At 40.8% G+C, this 18,778-nt stretch overlaps 1 annotated feature.

Moving 5' to 3' along the window:
• Positions 1 to 18,778: part of a centromere (Linear centromere model derived predominantly from reads generated in PMID: 17803354. This region does not represent an actual centromere sequence, as long-range ordering of repeats and unmapped WGS contigs is not provided by the model. For details of model production, see http://arxiv.org/abs/1307.0035.) that runs on past both edges of the window.

Genomic DNA, 18,778 nt, shown 5'->3' on the forward strand with positions numbered 1-18,778 from the left:
TCAGAAACTTCTTTGTGATGATTGCATTCAACTCACAGTAGTTGAAGGTTCCTTTTCAAAGAGCAGTTTCCAATCACTCTTTCTGTGGAATCTGCAAGTGGATATTTGGACCTATTTTGAAGATTTCGTTGGAAACGGGAGAATCTTCACAGGAAAGCTAAACAGAAGCATTCTCAGAAACTTCTCTGTGATGTTTGTGTTCAACTCCCAGAGTTTCATATTGCTTCTCATAGAGTAGTTCTGAAACATGCTTTTCGTAGTGTCTGCAAGTGGACATTTGGAGCGCTTTCAGGCCTGTGGTGGAAAACGAATTATGGTCACATAAAAACTGGAGAGAAGCCTTCTCAGAAACTTCTCTGTGATGATTGCATTCAACTCACAGAGTTGAACCCTCCTATGGATAGAGCAGTGTTGAAACTCTCTTTTTGTGGAATCTGCAAGTGGATATGTGGACCTCTCCGAAGATGTCTTTGGAAACGGGAATATCTTCACATAAAAACTAAACAGAAGCATTCTCAGAAACTTCTTGGTGATGTTTGCATTCAAATCCCAGAGTTGAACCTTCCTTTGATAGTTCAGGTTTGAAACACTCTTTTTGTAGGATCTGCAAGTGGATATTTGGACCACTCTGTGGCCTTCGTTCGAAACGGGTATATCTTCGCATAAAATCTAGACAGAAGCATTCTCAGAAAATACTTTGTGATGATTGAGTTTAAATCACAGAGCTGACCATTCCTTTGGATGGAGCAGGTTTGAGACACACTTTTTGTAGAATCTACAAGTGGATATTTGGACCTCTCTGAGGATTTCGTTGGAAACGGGATAACTGCACCTAACTAAACGGAAGCATTCTCAGAAACTGCTTTGTGATGATTGCATTCACCTCACAGAGTTGAACATTCCTATTGATAGAGCAGTTTGGAAACACTCTTGTTGTGGAATGTGCAAGTGGAGATTTGGAGCGCTTTGAGGCCTGTGGTAGTAAAGGGAATAGCTTCATAGAAAAACTAGACAGATGCATTCTCAGGAACTTTTTGGTGATGTTTGTATTCAACTCCCAGAGTTGAACTTTCCTTTGGAAAGAGCAGCTATGAAACACTCTTTTTCTAGAATCTGCAAGTGGACGTTTGGAGGGCTTTGTGGTTTGTGGTGGAAAAGGAAATATCTTCACCTAAATACTAGATAGAAGCATTCTCAGAAGCTTCTCTGTGATGACTGCATTCAACTCACGGAGTTGAACACTCCTTTTGAGAGCGCAGTTTTGAAACTCTCTTTCTGTGGCATCTGCAAGGGGACATGTAGACCTCTTTGAAGATTTCGTTGGAAACGGAATCATCTTCACATAAAAACTATACAGAAGCAGTCTCAGAATCTTCTTTGTGATGTTTGCATTCAAATCCCAGAGTTGAACTTTCCTTTCAAAGTTCACGTTTGAAACACTCTTTTTGCAGGATCTACAAGTGGATATTTGGACCACTCTGTGTCCTTCGTTCGAAACGGGTATATCTTCACACGACATCTAGACAGAAGCTTTCTCAGAAAATTCTTTGGGATGATTGAGTTGAACTCACAGAGCTGAGCATTCCTTGCGATGTAGCAGTTTAGAAACACACTTTCTGCAGAATCTGCAAGTGCATATTTGGACCTCTGTGAGGAATTCGTTGGAAACGGGATAATTTCAGCTGACTAAACAGAAGCATTCTCAGAACCTTCTTCTTGATGTCTGCATTCAACTCACAGTGTGGAACCTTTCTTTGATAGTTCAGGTTTGAAACACTCTTTTTGTAGAAACTTCAAGGGGATAATTGCACTTCTTTGAGGCCTACCGTAGTAAAGGAAATAACTTCCTATAAAAAGAAGACAGAAGAATTCTCAGAGCCCTCTTCGTGATGTTTGCATTCAACTCACAGTGCTGAACCTTTCTTTGATAGTGCAGCTTTGAAACACTCTTTTTGTAGAAACTGCAAGTGGATATTTGGTCCTCTCTGAGGATTTCGTTGGAAACGGGATAAACCGCACAGAACTAAACAGAAGCATTCTCAGAACCTTCTTCGTGATGTTTGCATTCAACTCACAGTGTTGAACCTTTCTTTGATAGTTCAGGTTTGAAACGGTCTTTCTGTAGAAACTGCAAGTAGATATTTGGACCTCTCTGAGGATTTCGTTGGAAACGGGATAACCCGCACAGAACTAAAACAGAAGCATTCACAGAAAACTCTTGGTGACGACTGAGTTTAACTCACAGAGCTGAACATTCCTTTGGATGGAGCAGTTTCGAAACACACTATTTGTAGAATGTGCAAGTGGATATTTAGGCCTCTCTGAGGATTTCGTTGGAAACGGGATAAACCGCACAGAACTAAACAGAAGCATTCTCAGAAACTACTTTGTGATGATTGCATTCAAGTCACAGAGTTGAACATTCCCTTTGACAGAGCAGTTTGGAAACTCTCTTTGTGTAGAATCTGCAAGTGGAGATATGGACCGCTTTGAGGCCTATGGTAGTAAAGGAAATAGCTTCATATAAAAGCTAGACAGTAGCATTCTCAGAAACTTCTTTGTGATGCTTGCATTCAACTCACAGAGTTGAACTTTCCTTTCGAGAGAGAAGCTTTGAAACACTCTTTTTCCAGAATCTGCAAGTGGACATTTGGAGGGCTTTGAGGCCTGTGGTGGAAAAGGAATTATCTTCCCGTAAAAGCTAGATAGAAGCATTGTCAGAAACTTCTTTGTGATGATTGCATTCAACTCACAGAGTTGAAGGTTCCTTTTCAAAGAGCAGTTTCCAATCACTCTTTCTGTGGAATCTGCAAGTGGATATTTGGACCTATTTTGAAGATTTCGTTGGAAACGGGAGAATCTTCACAGGAAAGCTAAACAGAAGCATTCTCAGAAACTTCTCTGTGATGTTTGTGTTCAACTCCCAGAGTTTCACATTGCTTTTCATAGAGTAGTTCTGAAACATGCTTTTCGTAGTGTCTACAAGTGGACATTTGGAGCGCTTTCAGGCCTGTGGTGGAAAACGAATTATGGTCACATAAAAACTGGAGAGAAGCCTTCTCAGAAACTTCTCTGTGATGATTGCATTCAACTCACAGAGTTGAACCCTCCTATGGATAGAGCAGTGTTGAAACTCTCTTTTTGTGGAATCTGCAAGTGGATATGTGGACCTCTCCGAAGATGTCTTTGGAAACGGGAATATCTTCACATAAAAACTAAACAGAAGCATTCTCAGAAACTTCTTGGTGATGTTTGCATTCAAATCCCAGAGTTGAACCTTCCTTTGATAGTTCAGGTTTGAAACACTCTTTCTGTAGGATCTGCAAGTGGCTATTTGGACCACTCTGTGGCCTTCGTTCGAAACGGGTATATCTTCGCATAAAATCTAGACAGAAGCATTCTCAGAAAATACTTTGTGATGATTGAGTTTAAATCACAGAGCTGACCATTCCTTTGGATGGAGCAGGTTTGAGACACACTTTTTGTAGAATCTACAAGTGGATATTTGGACCTCTCTGAGGATTTCGTTGGAAACGGGATAACTGCACCTAACTAAACGGAAGCATTCTCAGAAACTGCTTTGTGATGATTGCATTCACCTCACAGAGTTGAACATTCCTATTGATAGAGCAGTTTGGAAACACTCTTGTTGTGGAATGTGCAAGTGGAGATTTGGAGCGCTTTGAGGCCTGTGGTAGTAAAGGGAATAGCTTCATAGAAAAACTAGACAGATGCATTCTCAGGAACTTTTTGGTGATGTTTGTATTCAACTCCCAGAGTTGAACTTTCCTTTGGAAAGAGCAGCTATGAAACACTCTTTTTCTAGAATCTGCAAGTGGACGTTTGGAGGGCTTTGTGGTTTGTGGTGGAAAAGGAAATATCTTCACCTAAATACTAGAGAGAAGCATTCTCAGAAGCTTCTCTGTGATGACTGCATTCAACTCACGGAGTTGAACACTCCTTTTGAGAGCGCAGTTTTGAAACTCTCTTTCTGTGGCATCCGCAAGGGGACATGTGGACCTCTTTGAAGATTTCGTTGGAAACGGAATCATCTTCACATAAAAACTATACAGAAGCAGTCTCAGAATCTTCTTTGTGATGTTTGCATTCAAATCCCAGAGTTGAACTTTTCTTTCAAAGTTCACGTTTGAAACACTCTTTTTGCAGGATCTACAAGTGGATATTTGGACCACTCTGTGTCCTTCGTTCGAAACGGGTATATCTTCACATGACATCTAGACAGAAGCTTTCTCAGAAAATTCTTTGGGATGATTGAGTAGAACTCACAGAGCTGAGCATTCCTTGCGATGTAGCAGTTTAGAAACACACTTTCTGCAGAATCTGCAAGTGCATATTTGGACCTCTGTGAGGAATTCGTTGGAAACGGGATAATTTCAGCTGACTAAACAGAAGCATTCTCAGAACCTTCTTCGTGATGTCTGCATTCAACTCACAGTGTGGAACCTTTCTTTGATAGTTCAGGTTTGAAACACTCTTTTTGTAGAAACTGCAAGGGGATAATTGCACTTCTTTGAGGCCTACCGTAGTAAAGGAAATAACTTCCTATAGAAAGAAGACAGAAGCATTCTCAGAACCCTCTTCGTGATGTTTGCATTCAACTCACAGTGCTGAACCTTTCTTTGATAGTTCAGCTTTGAAACACTCTTCTTGTAGAAACTACAAGTGGATATTTGGTCCTCTCTGAGGATTTCGTTGGAAACGGGATAAACCGCACAGAACTAAACAGAAGCATTCTCAGAACCTTCTTCGTGATGTTTGCATTCAACTCACAGTGTTGAACCTTTCTTTGATAGTTCAGGTTTGAAACGGTCTTTCTGTAGAAACTGCAAGTAGATATTTGGACCTCTCTGAGGATTTCGTTGGAAACGGGATAAACCGCACAGAACTAAAACAGAAGCATTCACAGAAAACTCTTGGTGACGACTGAGTTTAACTCACAGAGCTGAACATTCCTTTGGATGGAGCAGTTTCGAAACACACTATTTGTAGAATGTGCAAGTGGATATTTAGGCCTCTCTGAGGATTTCGTTGGAAACGGGATAAACCGCACAGAACTAAACAGAAGCATTCTCAGAAACTACTTTGTGATGATTGCATTCAAGTCACAGAGTTGAACATTCCCTTTGACAGAGCAGTTTGGAAACTCTCTTTGTGTAGAATCTGCAAGTGGAGATATGGACCGCTTTGAGGCCTATGGTAGTAAAGGAAATAGCTTCATATAAAAGCTAGACAGTAGCATTCTCAGAAACTTCTTTGTGATGCTTGCATTCAACTCACAGAGTTGAACTTTCCTTTCGAGAGAGAAGCTTTGAAACACTCTTTTTCCAGAATCTGCAAGTGGACATTTGGAGGGCTTTGAGGCCTGTGGTGGAAAAGGAATTATCTTCCCGTAAAAGCTAGATAGAAGCATTGTCAGAAACTTCTTTGTGATGATTGCATTCAACTCACAGAGTTGAAGGTTCCTTTTCAAACAGCAGTTTCCAATCACTCTTTCTGTGGAATCTGCAAGTGGATATTTGGGCCTCTCTGAGGATTTCGTTGGAAACGGGATAAAACGCACAGAACTAAAACAGAAGCATTCTCAGAAACTTCTCTGTGATGTTTGTGTTCAACTCCCAGAGTTTCACATTGCTTTTCATAGTGTAGTTCTGAAACATGCTTTTCGTAGTGTCTGCAAGTGGACATTTGGAGCGCTTTCAGGCCTGTGGTGGAAAACGAATTATGGTCACATAAAAACTGGAGAGAAGCCTTCTCAGAAACTTCTCTGTGATGATTGCATTCAACTCACAGAGTTGAACCCTCCTATGGATAGAGCAGTGTTGAAACTCTCTTTTTGTGAAATCTGCAAGTGGATATGTGGACCTCTCCGAAGATGTCTTTGGAAACGGGAATATCTTCACATAAAAACTAAACAGAAGCATTCTCAGAAACTTCTTGGTGATGTTTGCATTCAAATCCCAGAGTTGAACCTTCCTGTGATAGTTCAGGTTTGAAACACTCTTTTTGTAGGATCTGCAAGTGGATATTTGGACCACTCTGTGGCCTTCGTTCGAAACGGGTACATCTTCACATAAAATCTAGACAGAAGCATTCTCAGAAAATACTTTGTGATGATTGAGTTGAACTCACAGAGCTGAACATTCCTTTGGATGGAGCAGGTTTGAGACACACTTTTTGTAGAATCTACAAGTGGATATTTGGACCTCTCTGAGGATTTCGTTGGAAACGGGATAACTGCACCTAACTAAACGGAAGCATTCCCAGAAACTGCTTTGTGATGATTGCATTCACCTCACAGAGTTGAACATTCCTATTGATAGAGCAGTTTGGAAACACTCTTGTTGTGGAATGTGCAAGTGGAGATTTGGAGCGCTTTGAGGTCTATGGTAGTAAAGGGAATAGCTTCATAGAAAAACTAGACCGATGCATTCTCAGGAACTTTTTGGTGATGTTTGTATTCAACTCCCAGAGTTGAACTTTCCTTTGGAAAGAGCAGCTATGAAACACTCTTTTTCTAGAATCTGCAAGTGGACGTTTGGAGGGCTTTGTGGTTTGTGGTGGAAAAGGAAATATCTTCACCTAAATACTAGATAGAAGCATCCTCAGAAGCTTCTCTGTGATGACTGCATTCAACTCACGGAGTTGAACACTCCTTTTGAGAGCGCAGTTTTGAAACTCTCTTTCTGTGGCATCTGCAAGGGGACATGTAGACCTCTTTGAAGATTTCGTTGGAAACGGAATCATCTTCACATAAAAACTATACAGAAGGAGTCTCAGAATATTCTTTGTGATGTTTGCATTCAAATCCCAGAGTTGAACTTTCCTTTCAAAGTTCACGTTTGAAACACTCTTTTTGCAGGATCTACAAGTGGATATTTGGACCACTCTGTGTCCTTCGTTCGAAACGGGTATATCTTCACATGACATCTAGACAGAAGCTTTCTCAGAAAATTCTTTGGGATGATTGAGTGGAACTCACAGAGCTGAACATTCCTTGCGATGTAGCAGTTTAGAAACACACTTTCTGAAGAATCTGCAAGTGCATATTTGGACCTCTCTGAGGAATTCGTTGGAAACGGGATAATTTCAGCTGACTAAACAGAAGCATTCTCAGAACCTTCTTCGTGATGTCTGCATTCAACTCACAGTGTGGAACCTTTCTTTGATAGTTCACGTTTGAAACACTCTTTTTGTAGAAACTGCAAGGGGATAATTGCACTTCTTTGAGGCCTACCGTAGTAAAGGAAATAACTTCCTATAAAAAGAAGACAGAAGCATTCACAGAAAACTCTTGGTGACGACTGAGTTTAACTCACAGTAGCTGAACATTCCTTTGGATGGAGCAGTTTCGAAACACACTATTTGTAGAATGTGCAAGTGGATATTTGGGCCTCTCTGAGGATTTCGTTGGAAACGGGATAAACCGCACAGAACTAAACAGAAGCATTCTCAGAAACTACTTTGTGATGATTGCATTCACCTCACAGAGTTGAACATTCCCTTTGACAGAGCACTTTGGAAACTCTCGTTGTGTAGCGTCTGCAAGTTGAGATATGGACCGCTTTGAGGCCTATGGTAGTAAAGGAAATAGCTTCATATAAAAACTAGACAGTAGCATTCTCAGAAACTTCTTTGTGATGCTTGCATTCAACTCACAGAGTTGAACTTTCCTTTCGAGAGAGAAGCTTTGAAACACTCTTTTTCCAGAATCTGCAAGTGGACATTTGGAGGGCTTTGAGGCCTGTGGTGGAAAAGGAATTAACTTCCCGTAAAAGCTAGATAGAAGCATTGTCAGAAACTTCTTTGTGATGATTGCATTCAACTCACAGGGTTGAAGGTTCCTTTTCAAAGAGCAGTTTCCAATCACTCTTTCTGTGGAATCTGCAAGTGGATATTTGGACCTCTTTGAAGATTTCGTTGGAAACGGGAGAATCTTCACAGGAAAGCTAAACAGAAGCATTCTCAGAAACTTCTCTGTGATGTTTGTGTTCAACTCCCAGAGTTTCACATTGCTTTTCATAGAGTAGTTCTGAAACATGCTTTTCGTAGTGTCTACAAGTGGACATTTGGAGCGCTTTCAGGCCTGTGGTGGAAAACGAATTATGGTCACATAAAAACTGGAGAGAAGCCTTCTCAGAAACTTCTCTGTGATGATTGCATTCAACTCACAGAGTTGAACCCTCCTATGGATAGAGCAGTGTTGAAACTCTCTTTTTGTGGAATCTGCAAGTGGATATGTGGACCTCTCCGAAGATGTCTTTGGAAACGGGAATATCTTCACATAAAAACTAAACAGAAGCATTCTCAGAAACTTCTTGGTGATGTTTGCATTCAAATCCCAGAGTTGAACCTTCCTTTGATAGTTCAGGTTTGAAACACTCTTTCTGTAGGATCTGCAAGTGGCTATTTGGACCACTCTGTGGCCTTCGTTCGAAACGGGTATATCTTCGCATAAAATCTAGACAGAAGCATTCTCAGAAAATACTTTGTGATGATTGAGTTTAAATCACAGAGCTGACCATTCCTTTGGATGGAGCAGGTTTGAGACACACTTTTTGTAGAATCTACAAGTGGATATTTGGACCTCTCTGAGGATTTCGTTGGAAACGGGATAACTGCACCTAACTAAACGGAAGCATTCTCAGAAACTGCTTTGTGATGATTGCATTCACCTCACAGAGTTGAACATTCCTATTGATAGAGCAGTTTGGAAACACTCTTGTTGTGGAATGTGCAAGTGGAGATTTGGAGCGCTTTGAGGCCTATGGTAGTAAAGGGAATAGCTTCATAGAAAAACTAGACAGATGCATTCTCAGGAACTTTTTGGTGATGTTTGTATTCAACTCCCAGAGTTGAACTTTCCTTTGGAAAGAGCAGCTATGAAACACTCTTTTTCTAGAATCTGCAAGTGGACGTTTGGAGGGCTTTGTGGTTTGTGGTGGAAAAGGAAATATCTTCACCTAAATACTAGATAGAAGCATTCTCAGAAGCTTCTCTGTGATGACTGCATTCAACTCACGGAGTTGAACACTCCTTTTGAGAGCGCAGTTTTGAAACTCTCTTTCTGTGGCATCTGCAAGGGGACATGTAGACCTCTTTGAAGATTTCGTTGGAAACGGAATCATCTTCACATCAAAACTATACAGAAGCAGTCTCAGAATCTTCTTTGTGATGTTTGCATTCAAATCCCTGAGTTGAACTTTCCTTTCCAAGTTCACGTTTGAAACACTCTTTTTGCAGGATCTACAAGTGGATATTTGGACCACTCTGTGTCCTTCGTTCGAAACGGGTATATCTTCACATGACATCTAGACAGAAGCTTTCTCAGAAAATTCTTTGGGATGATTGAGTTGAGCAAACAGAGCTGAACACTCCTTGCGATGTAGCAGTTTAGAAACACACTTTCTGCAGAATCTGCAAGTGCATATGTGGACCTCTCTGAGGAATTCGTTGGAAACGGGATAATTTCAGCTGACTAAACAGAAGCATTCTCAGAACCTTCTTCGTGATGTCTGCATTCAACTCACAGTGTGGAACCTTTCTTTGATAGTTCAGGTTTGAAACACTCTTTTTGTAGAAACTGCAAGGGGATCACTGCACTTCTTTGAGGCCTACCGTAGTAAAGGAGATAACTTCCTATAAAAAGAAGACAGAAGCATTCTCAGAACCTTCTTCGTGATGTTTGCATTCAACTCACAGTGCTGAACCTTTCTTTGATAGTTCAGCTTTGAAACACTCCTTTTGTAGAAACTGCAAGTGGATATTTGGACCTCTCTGAGGATTTCGTTGGAAACGGGATAAACCGCACAGAACTAAAACGGAAGCATTCACAGAAAACTCTTGGTGACGACTGAGTTTAACTCACAGAGCTGAACATTCCTTTGGATGGAGCAGTTTCGAAACACACTATTTGTAGAATGTGCAAGTGGATATGTGGGCCTCTCTGAGGATTTCGTTGGAAACGGGATAAACCGCACAGAACTAAACAGAAGCATTCTCAGAAACTACTTTGTGATGATTGCATTCAAGTCACAGAGTTGAACATTCCCTTTGACAGAGCAGTTTGGAAACTCTCTTTGTGTAGAATCTGCAAGTGGAGATATGGACCGCTTTGAGGCCTATGGTAGTAAAGGAAATAGCTTCATATAAAAGCTAGACAGTAGCATTCTCAGAAACTTCTTTGTGATGCTTGCATTCAACTCACAGAGTTGAACTTTCCTTTCGAGAGAGAAGCTTTGAAACACTCTTTTTCCAGAATCTGCAAGTGGACATTTGGAGGGCTTTGAGGCCTGTGGTGGAAAAGGAATTATCTTCCCTAAAAGCTAGATAGAAGCATTGTCAGAAACTTCTTTGTGATGATTGCATTCAAGTCACAGAGTTGAAGGTTCCTTTTCAAAGAGCAGTTTCCAATCACTCTTTCTGTGGAATCTGCAAGTGGATATTTGGACCTCTTTGAAGATTTCGTTGGAAACGGGAGAATCTTCACAGAAAAGCTAAACAGAAGCATTCTCAGAAACTTCTCTGTGATGTTTGTGTTCAACTCCCAGAGTTTCACGTTGCTTTTCATAGAGTAGTTCTGAAACATGCTTTTCGTAGTGTCTGCAAGTGGACATTTGGAGCGCTTTCAGGCCTGTGGTGGAAAACGAATTATGGTCACATAAAAACTGGAGAGAAGCCTTCTCAGAAACTTCTCTGTGATGATTGCATTCAACTCACAGATTTGAACCCTCCTATGGATAGAGCATTGTTGAAACTCTCTTTTTGTGGAATCTGCAAGTGGATATGTGGACCTCTCCGAAGATGTCTTTGGAAACGGGAATATCTTCACATAAAAACTAAACAGAAGCATTCTCAGAAACTTCTTGGTGATGTTTGCATTCAAATCCCAGAGTTGAACCTTCCTTTGAGAGTTCAGGTTTGAAACCCTCTTTTTGTAGGATCTGCAAGTGGATATTTGGACCACTCTGTGGCCTTCGTTCGAAACGGGTACATCTTCGCATAAAATCTAGACAGAAGCATTCTCAGAAAATACTTTGTGATGATTGAGTTGAACTCACAGAGCTGAACATTCCTTTGGATGGAGCAGGTTTGAGACACACTTTTTGTAGAATCTACAAGTGGATATTTGGACCTCTCTGAGGATTTCGTTGGAAACGGGATAACTGCACCTAACTAAACGGAAGCATTCTCAGAAACTGCTTTGTGATGATTGCATTCACCTCACAGAGTTGAACATTCCTATTGATAGAGCAGTTTGGAAACACTCTTGTTGTGGAATGTGCAAGTGGAGATTTGGAGCGCTTTGAGGCCTATGGTAGTAAAGGCAATAGCTTCATAGAAAAATTAGACAGATGCATTCTCAGGAACTTTTTGGTGATGTTTGTATTCAACTCCCAGAGTTGAACTTTCCTTTGGAAAGAGCAGCTATGAAACACTCTTTTTCTAGAATCTGCAAGTGGACGTTTGGAGGGCTTTGTGGTTTGTGGTGGAAAAGGAAATATCTTCACCTAAATACTAGATAGAAGCATTCTCAGAAGCTTCTCTGTGATGACTGCATTCAGCTCACGGAGTTGAACACTCCTTTTGAGAGCGCAGTTTTGAAACTCTCTTTCTGTGGCATCTGCAAGGGGACATGTAGACCTCTTTGAAGATTTCGTTGGAAACGGAATCATCTTCACATAAAAACTATACAGAAGCAGTCTCAGAATCTTCTTTGTGATGTTTGCATTCAAATCCCAGAGTTGAACTTTCCTTTCAAAGTTCACGTTTGAAACACTCTTTTTGCAGGATCTACAAGTGGATATTTGGACCACTCTGTGTCCTTCGTTCGAAACGGGTATATCTTCACACGACATCTAGACAGAAGCTTTCTCAGAAAATTCTTTGGGATGATTGAGTGGAACTCACAGAGCTGAACATTCCTTGCGATGGAGCAGTTTAGAAACACACTTTCTGCAGAATCTGCAAGTGCATATTTGGACCTCTCTGAGGAATTCGTTGGAAACGGGATAATTTCAGCTGACTAAACAGAAGCATTCTCAGAACCTTCTTCGTGATGTCTGCATTCAACTCACAGTGTGGAACCTTTCTTTGATAGTTCAGGTTTGAAACACTCTTTTTGTAGAAACTGCAAGGGGATAATTGCACTTCTTTGAGGCCTACCGTAGTAAAGGAAATAACTTCCTATAGAAAGAAGACAGAAGAATTCTCAGAGCCCTCTTCGTGATGTTTGCATTCAACTCACAGTGCTGAACCTTTCTTTGATAGTGCAGCTTTGAAACACTCTTTTTGTAGAAACTGCAAGTGGATGTTTGGTCCTCTCTGAGGATTTCGTTGGAAACGGGATAAACCGCACAGAACTAAAACAGAAGCATTCTCAGAAAATTCTTCGTGATGTTTGCATTCAACTCACAGTGTTGAACCTTTCTTTGATAGTTCAGGTTTGAAACGGTCTTTCTGTAGAAACTGCAAGTAGATATTTGGACCTCTCTGAGGATTTCGTTGGAAACGGGATAAACCGCACAGAACTAAAACAGAAGCATTCACAGAAAACTCTTGGTGACGACTGAGTTTAACTCACAGAGCTGAACATTCCTTTGGATGGAGCAGTTTCGAAACACACTATTTGTAGAATGTGCAAGTGGATATTTGGGCCTCTCTGAGGATTTCGTTGGAAACGGGATAAACCGCACAGAACTAAACAGAAGCATTCTCAGAAACTACTTTGTGATGATTGCATTCAAGTCACAGAGTTGAACATTCCCTTTGACAGAGCAGTTTGGAAACTCTCTTTGTGTAGAATCTGCAAGTGGAGATATGGACCGCTTTGAGGCCTATGGTAGTAAAGGAAATAGCTTCATATAAAAGCTAGACAGTAGCATTCTCAGAAACTTCTTTGTGATGCTTGCATTCAACTCACAGAGTTGAACTTTCCTTTCGAGAGAGAAGCTTTGAAACACTCTTTTTCCAGAATCTGCAAGTGGACATTTGGAGGGCTTTGAGGCCTGTGGTGGAAAAGGAATTATCTTCCCGTAAAAGCTAGATGGAAGCATTGTCAGAAACTTCTTTGTGATGATTGCATTCAAGTCACAGAGTTGAAGGTTCCTTTTCAAAGAGCAGTTTCCAATCACTCTTTCTGTGGAATCTGCAAGTGGATATTTGGACCTCTTTGAAGATTTCGTTGGAAACGGGAGAATCTTCACAGAAAAGCTAAACAGAAGCATTCTCAGAAACTTCTCTGTGATGTTTGTGTTCAACTCCCGGAGTTTCACATTGCTTCTCATAGAGTAGTTCTGAAACATGCTTTTCGTAGTGTCTGCAAGTGGACATTTGGAGCGCTTTCAGGCCTGTGGTGGAAAACGAATTATGGTCACATAAAAACTGGAGAGAAGCCTTCTCAGAAACTTCTCTGTGATGATTGCATTCAACTCACAGAGTTGAACCCTCCTATGGATAGAGCAGTGTTGAAACTCTCTTTTTGTGGAATCTGCAAGCGGATATGTGGACCTCTCCGAAGATGTCTTTGGCAACGGGAATATCTTCACATAAAAACTAAACAGAAGCATTCTCAGAAACTTCTTGGTGATGTTTGCATTCAAATCCCAGAGTTGAACCTTCCTTTCATAGTTCAGGTTTGCAACACTCTTTTTGTAGGATCTGCAAGTGGATATTTGGACCACTCTGTGGCCTTCGTTCGAAACGGGTACATCTTCGCATAAAATCTAGACAGAAGCATTCTCAGAAAATACTTTGTGATGATTGAGTTTAAATCACAGAGCTGACCATTCCTTTGGATGGAGCAGGTTTGAGACACACTTTTTGTAGAATCTACAAGTGGATATTTGGACCTCTCTGAGGATTTCGTTGGAAACGGGATAACTGCACCTAACTAAACGGAAGCATTCTCAGAAACTGCTTTGTGATGATTGCATTCACCTCACAGAGTTGAACATTCCTATTGATAGAGCAGTTTGGAAACACTCTTGTTGTGGAATGTGCAAGTGGAGATTTGGAGCGCTTTGAGGCCTATGGTAGTAAAGGGAATAGCTTCATAGAAAAACTAGACAGATGCATTCTCAGGAACTTTTTGGTGATGTTTGTATTCAACTCCCAGAGTTGAACTTTCCTTTGGAAAGAGCAGCTATGAAACACTCTTTTTCTAGAATCTGCAAGTGGACGTTTGGAGGGCTTTGTGGTTTGTGGTGGAAAAGGAAATATCTTCACCTAAATACTAGACAGAAGCATTCTCAGAAGCTTCTCTGTGATGACTGCATTCAACTCACGGAGTTGAACACTCCTTTTGAGAGCGCAGTTTTGAAACTCTCTTTCTGTGGCATCTGCAAGGGGACATGTAGACCTCTTTGAAGATTTCGTTGGAAACGGAATCATCTTCACATCAAAACTATACAGAAGCAGTCTCAGAATCTTCTTTGTGATGTTTGCATTCAAATCCCAGAGTTGAACTTTCCTTTCAAAGTTCACGTTTGAAACACTCTTTTTGCAGGATCTACAAGTGGATATTTGGACCACTCTGTGTCCTTCGTTCGAAACGGGTATATCTTCACATGACATCTAGACAGAAGCTTTCTCAGAAAATTCTTTGGGATGATTGAGTGGAACTCACAGAGCTGAACATTCCTTGCGATGTAGCAGTTTAGAAACACACTTTCTGCAGAATCTGCAAGTGCATATTTGGACCTCTCTGAGGAATTCGTTGGAAACGGGATAATTTCAGCTGACTAAACAGAAGCATTCTCAGAACCTTCTTCGTGATGTCTGCATTCAACTCACAGTGTGGAACCTTTCTTTGATAGTTCAGGTTTGAAACACTCTTTTTGTAGAAACTGCAAGGGGATAATTGCACTCTTTGAGGAGTACCGTAGTAAAGGAAATAACTTCCTATAAAAAGAAGACAGAAGCATTCTCAGAACCCTCTTCGTGATGTTTGCATTCAACTCACAGTGCTGAACCTTTCTTTGATAGTTCAGCTTTGAAACACTCTTCTTGTAGAAACTGCAAGTGGATATTTGGTCCTCTCTGAGGATTTCGTTGGAAACGGGATAAACCGCACAGAACTAAACAGAAGCATTCTCAGAACCTTCTTCGTGATGTTTGCATTCAACTCACAGTGTTGAACCTTTCTTTGATAGTTCAGGTTTGAAACGGTCTTTCTGTAGAAACTGCAAGTAGATATTTGGACCTCTCTGAGGATTTCGTTGGAAACGGGATAACCCGCACAGAACTAAAACAGAAGCATTCACAGAAAACTCTTGGTGACGACTGAGTTTAACTCACAGAGCTGAACATTCCTTTGGATGGAGCAGTTTCGAAACACACTATTTGTAGAATGTGCAAGTGGATATTTAGGCCTCTCTGAGGATTTCGTTGGAAACGGGATAAACCGCACAGAACTAAACAGAAGCATTCTCAGAAACTACTTTGTGATGATTGCATTCAAGTCACAGAGTTGAACATTCCCTTTGACAGAGCAGTTTGGAAACTCTCTTTGTGTAGAATCTGCAAGTGGAGATATGGACCGCTTTGAGGCCTATGGTAGTAAAGGAAATAGCTTCATATAAAAGCTAGACAGTAGCATTCTCAGAAACTTCTTTGTGATGCTTGCATTCAACTCACAGAGTTGAACTTTCCTTTCGAGAGAGAAGCTTTGAAACACTCTTTTTCCAGAATCTGCAAGTGGACATTTGGAGGGCTTTGAGGCCTGTGGTGGAAAAGGAATTAACTTCCCGTAAAAGCTAGATAGAAGCATTGTCAGAAACTTCTTTGTGATGATTGCATTCAACTCACAGAGTTGAAGGTTCCTTTTCAAAGAGCAGTTTCCAATCACTCTTTCTGTGGAATCTGCAAGTGGATATTTGGACCTATTTTGAAGATTTCGTTGGAAACGGGAGAATCTTCACAGGAAAGCTAAACAGAAGGATTCTCAGAAACTTCTCTGTGATGTTTGTGTTCAACTCCCAGAGTTTCACATTGCTTTTCATAGAGTAGTTCTGAAACATGCTTTTCGTAGTGTCTACAAGTGGACATTTGGAGCGCTTCCAGGCCTGTGGTGGAAAACGAATTATGGTCACATAAAAACTGGAGAGAAGCCTTCTCAGAAACTTCTCTGTGATGACTGCATTCAACTCACAGAGTTGAACCCTCCTATGGATAGAGCAGTGTTGAAACTCTCTTTTTGTGGAATCTGCAAGTGGATATGTGGACCTCTCCGAAGATGTTCTTTGGAAACGGGAATATCTTCACATAAAAACTAAACAGAAGCATTCTCAGAAACTTCTTGGTGATGTTTGCATTCAAATCCCAGAGTTGAACCTTCCTTTGATAGTTCAGGTTTGAAACACTCTTTTTGTAGGATCTGCAAGTGGATATTTGGACCACTCTGTGGCCTTCGTTCGAAACGGGTACATCTTCGCATAAAATCTAGACAGAAGCATTCTCAGAAAATACTTTGTGATGATTGAGTTTAAATCACAGAGCTGACCATTCCTTTGGATGGAGCAGGTTTGAGACACACTTTTTGTAGAATCTACAAGTGGATATTTGGACCTCTCTGAGGATTTCGTTGGAAACGGGATAACTGCACCTAACTAAACGGAAGCATTCTCAGAAACTGCTTTGTGATGATTGCATTCACCTCACAGAGTTGAACATTCCTATTGATAGAGCAGTTTGGAAACACTCTTGTTGTGGAATGTGCAAGTGGAGATTTGGAGCGCTTTGAGGCCTATGGTAGTAAAGGGAATAGCTTCATAGAAAAACTAGACAGATGCATTCTCAGGAACTTTTTGGTGATGTTTGTATTCAACTCCCAGAGTTGAACTTTCCTTTGGAAAGAGCAGCTATGAAACACTCTTTTTCTAGAATCTGCAAGTGGACGTTTGGAGGGCTTTGTGGTTTGTGGTGGAAAAGGAAATATCTTCACCTAAATACTAGATAGAAGCATTCTCAGAAGCTTCTCTGTGATGACTGCATTCAACTCACGGAGTTGAACACTCCTTTTGAGAGCGCAGTTTTGAAACTCTCTTTCTGTGGCATCTGCAAGGGGACATGTAGACCTCTTTGAAGATTTCGTTGGAAACGGAATCATCTTCACATAAAAACTATACAGAAGCAGTCTCAGAATCTTCTTTGTGATGTTTGCATTCAAATCCCAGAGTTGAACTTTCCTTTCAAAGTTCACGTTTGAAACACTCTTTTTGCAGGATCTACAAGTGGATATTTCGACCACTCTGTGTCCTACGTTCGAAACGGGTATATCTTCACATGACATCTAGACAGAAGCTTTCTCAGAAAATTCTTTGGGTTGATTGAGTTGAACTCACAGAGCTGAACATTCCTTCCGATGTAGCAGTTTAGAAACACACTTTCTGCAGAATCTGCAAGTGCATATTTGGACCTCTCTGAGGAATTCGTTGGAAACGGGATAATTTCAGCTGACTAAACAGAAGCATTCTCAGAACCTTCTTCGTGATGTGTGCATTCAACTCACAGTGTGGAACCTTTCTTTGATAGTTCAGGTTTGAAACACTCTTTTTGTAGAAACTGCAAGGGGATAATTGCACTTCTTTGAGGCCTACCGTAGTAAAGGAAATAACTTCCTATAGAAAGAAGACAGAAGCATTCTCAGAACCCTCTTCGTGATGTTTGCATTCAACTCACAGTGCTGAACCTTTCTTTGATAGTTCAGCTTTGAAACACTCTTCTTGTAGAAACTGCAAGTGGATATTTGGTCCTCTCTGAGGATTTCGTTGGAAACGGGATAAACCGCACAGAACTAAACAGAAGCATTCTCAGAACCTTCTTCGTGATGTTTGCATTCAACTCACAGTGTTGAACCTTTCTTTGATAGTTCAGGTTGGAAACGGTCTTTCTGTAGAAACTGCAAGTAGATATTTGGACCTCTCTGAGGATTTCGTTGGAAACGGGATAAACCGCACAGAACTAAAACAGAAGCATTCACAGAAAACTCTTGGTGACGACTGAGTTTAACTCACAGAGCTGAACATTCCTTTGGATGGAGCAGTTTCGAAACACACTATTTGTAGAATGTGCAAGTGGATATTTGGGCCTCTCTGAGGATTTCGTTGGAAACGGGATAAACCGCACAGAACTAAACAGAAGCATTCTCAGAAACTACTTTGTGATGATTGCATTCAAGTCACAGAGTTGAACATTCCCTTTGACAGAGCAGTTTGGAAACTCTCTTTGTGTAGAATCTGCAAGTGGAGATATGGACCGCTTTGAGGCCTATGGTAGTAAAGGAAATAGCTTCATATAAAAGCTAGACAGTAGTATTCTCAGAAACTTCTTTTTGATGCTTGCATTCAACTCACAGAGTTGAACTTTCCTTTCGAGAGAGAAGCTTTGAAACACTCTTTTTCCAGAATCTGCAAGTGGACATTTGGAGGGCTTTGAGGCCTGTGGTGGAAAAGGAATTATCTTCCCGTAAAAGCTAGATAGAAGCATTGTCAGAAACTTCTTTGTGATGATTGCATTCAACTCACAGAGTTGAAGGTTCCTTTTCAAACAGCAGTTTCCAAACACCCTTTCTGTGGAATCTGCAAGTGGATGTTTGGACCTCTTGGAAGATTTCGTTGGAAACGGGAGAATCTTCACATAAAAGCTAAACAGAAGCTTTCTCAGAAACTTCTCTGTGATGTTTGTGTTCAACTCCCAGAGTTTCACATTGCTTTTCATAGAGTAGTTCTGAAACATGCTTTTCGTAGTGTCTGCAAGTGGA

The sequence above is a fragment of the Homo sapiens genome, chromosome 17, assembly GCF_000001405.40.
Source record: "Homo sapiens chromosome 17, GRCh38.p14 Primary Assembly".
NCBI lineage: Eukaryota > Metazoa > Chordata > Mammalia > Primates > Hominidae > Homo > Homo sapiens.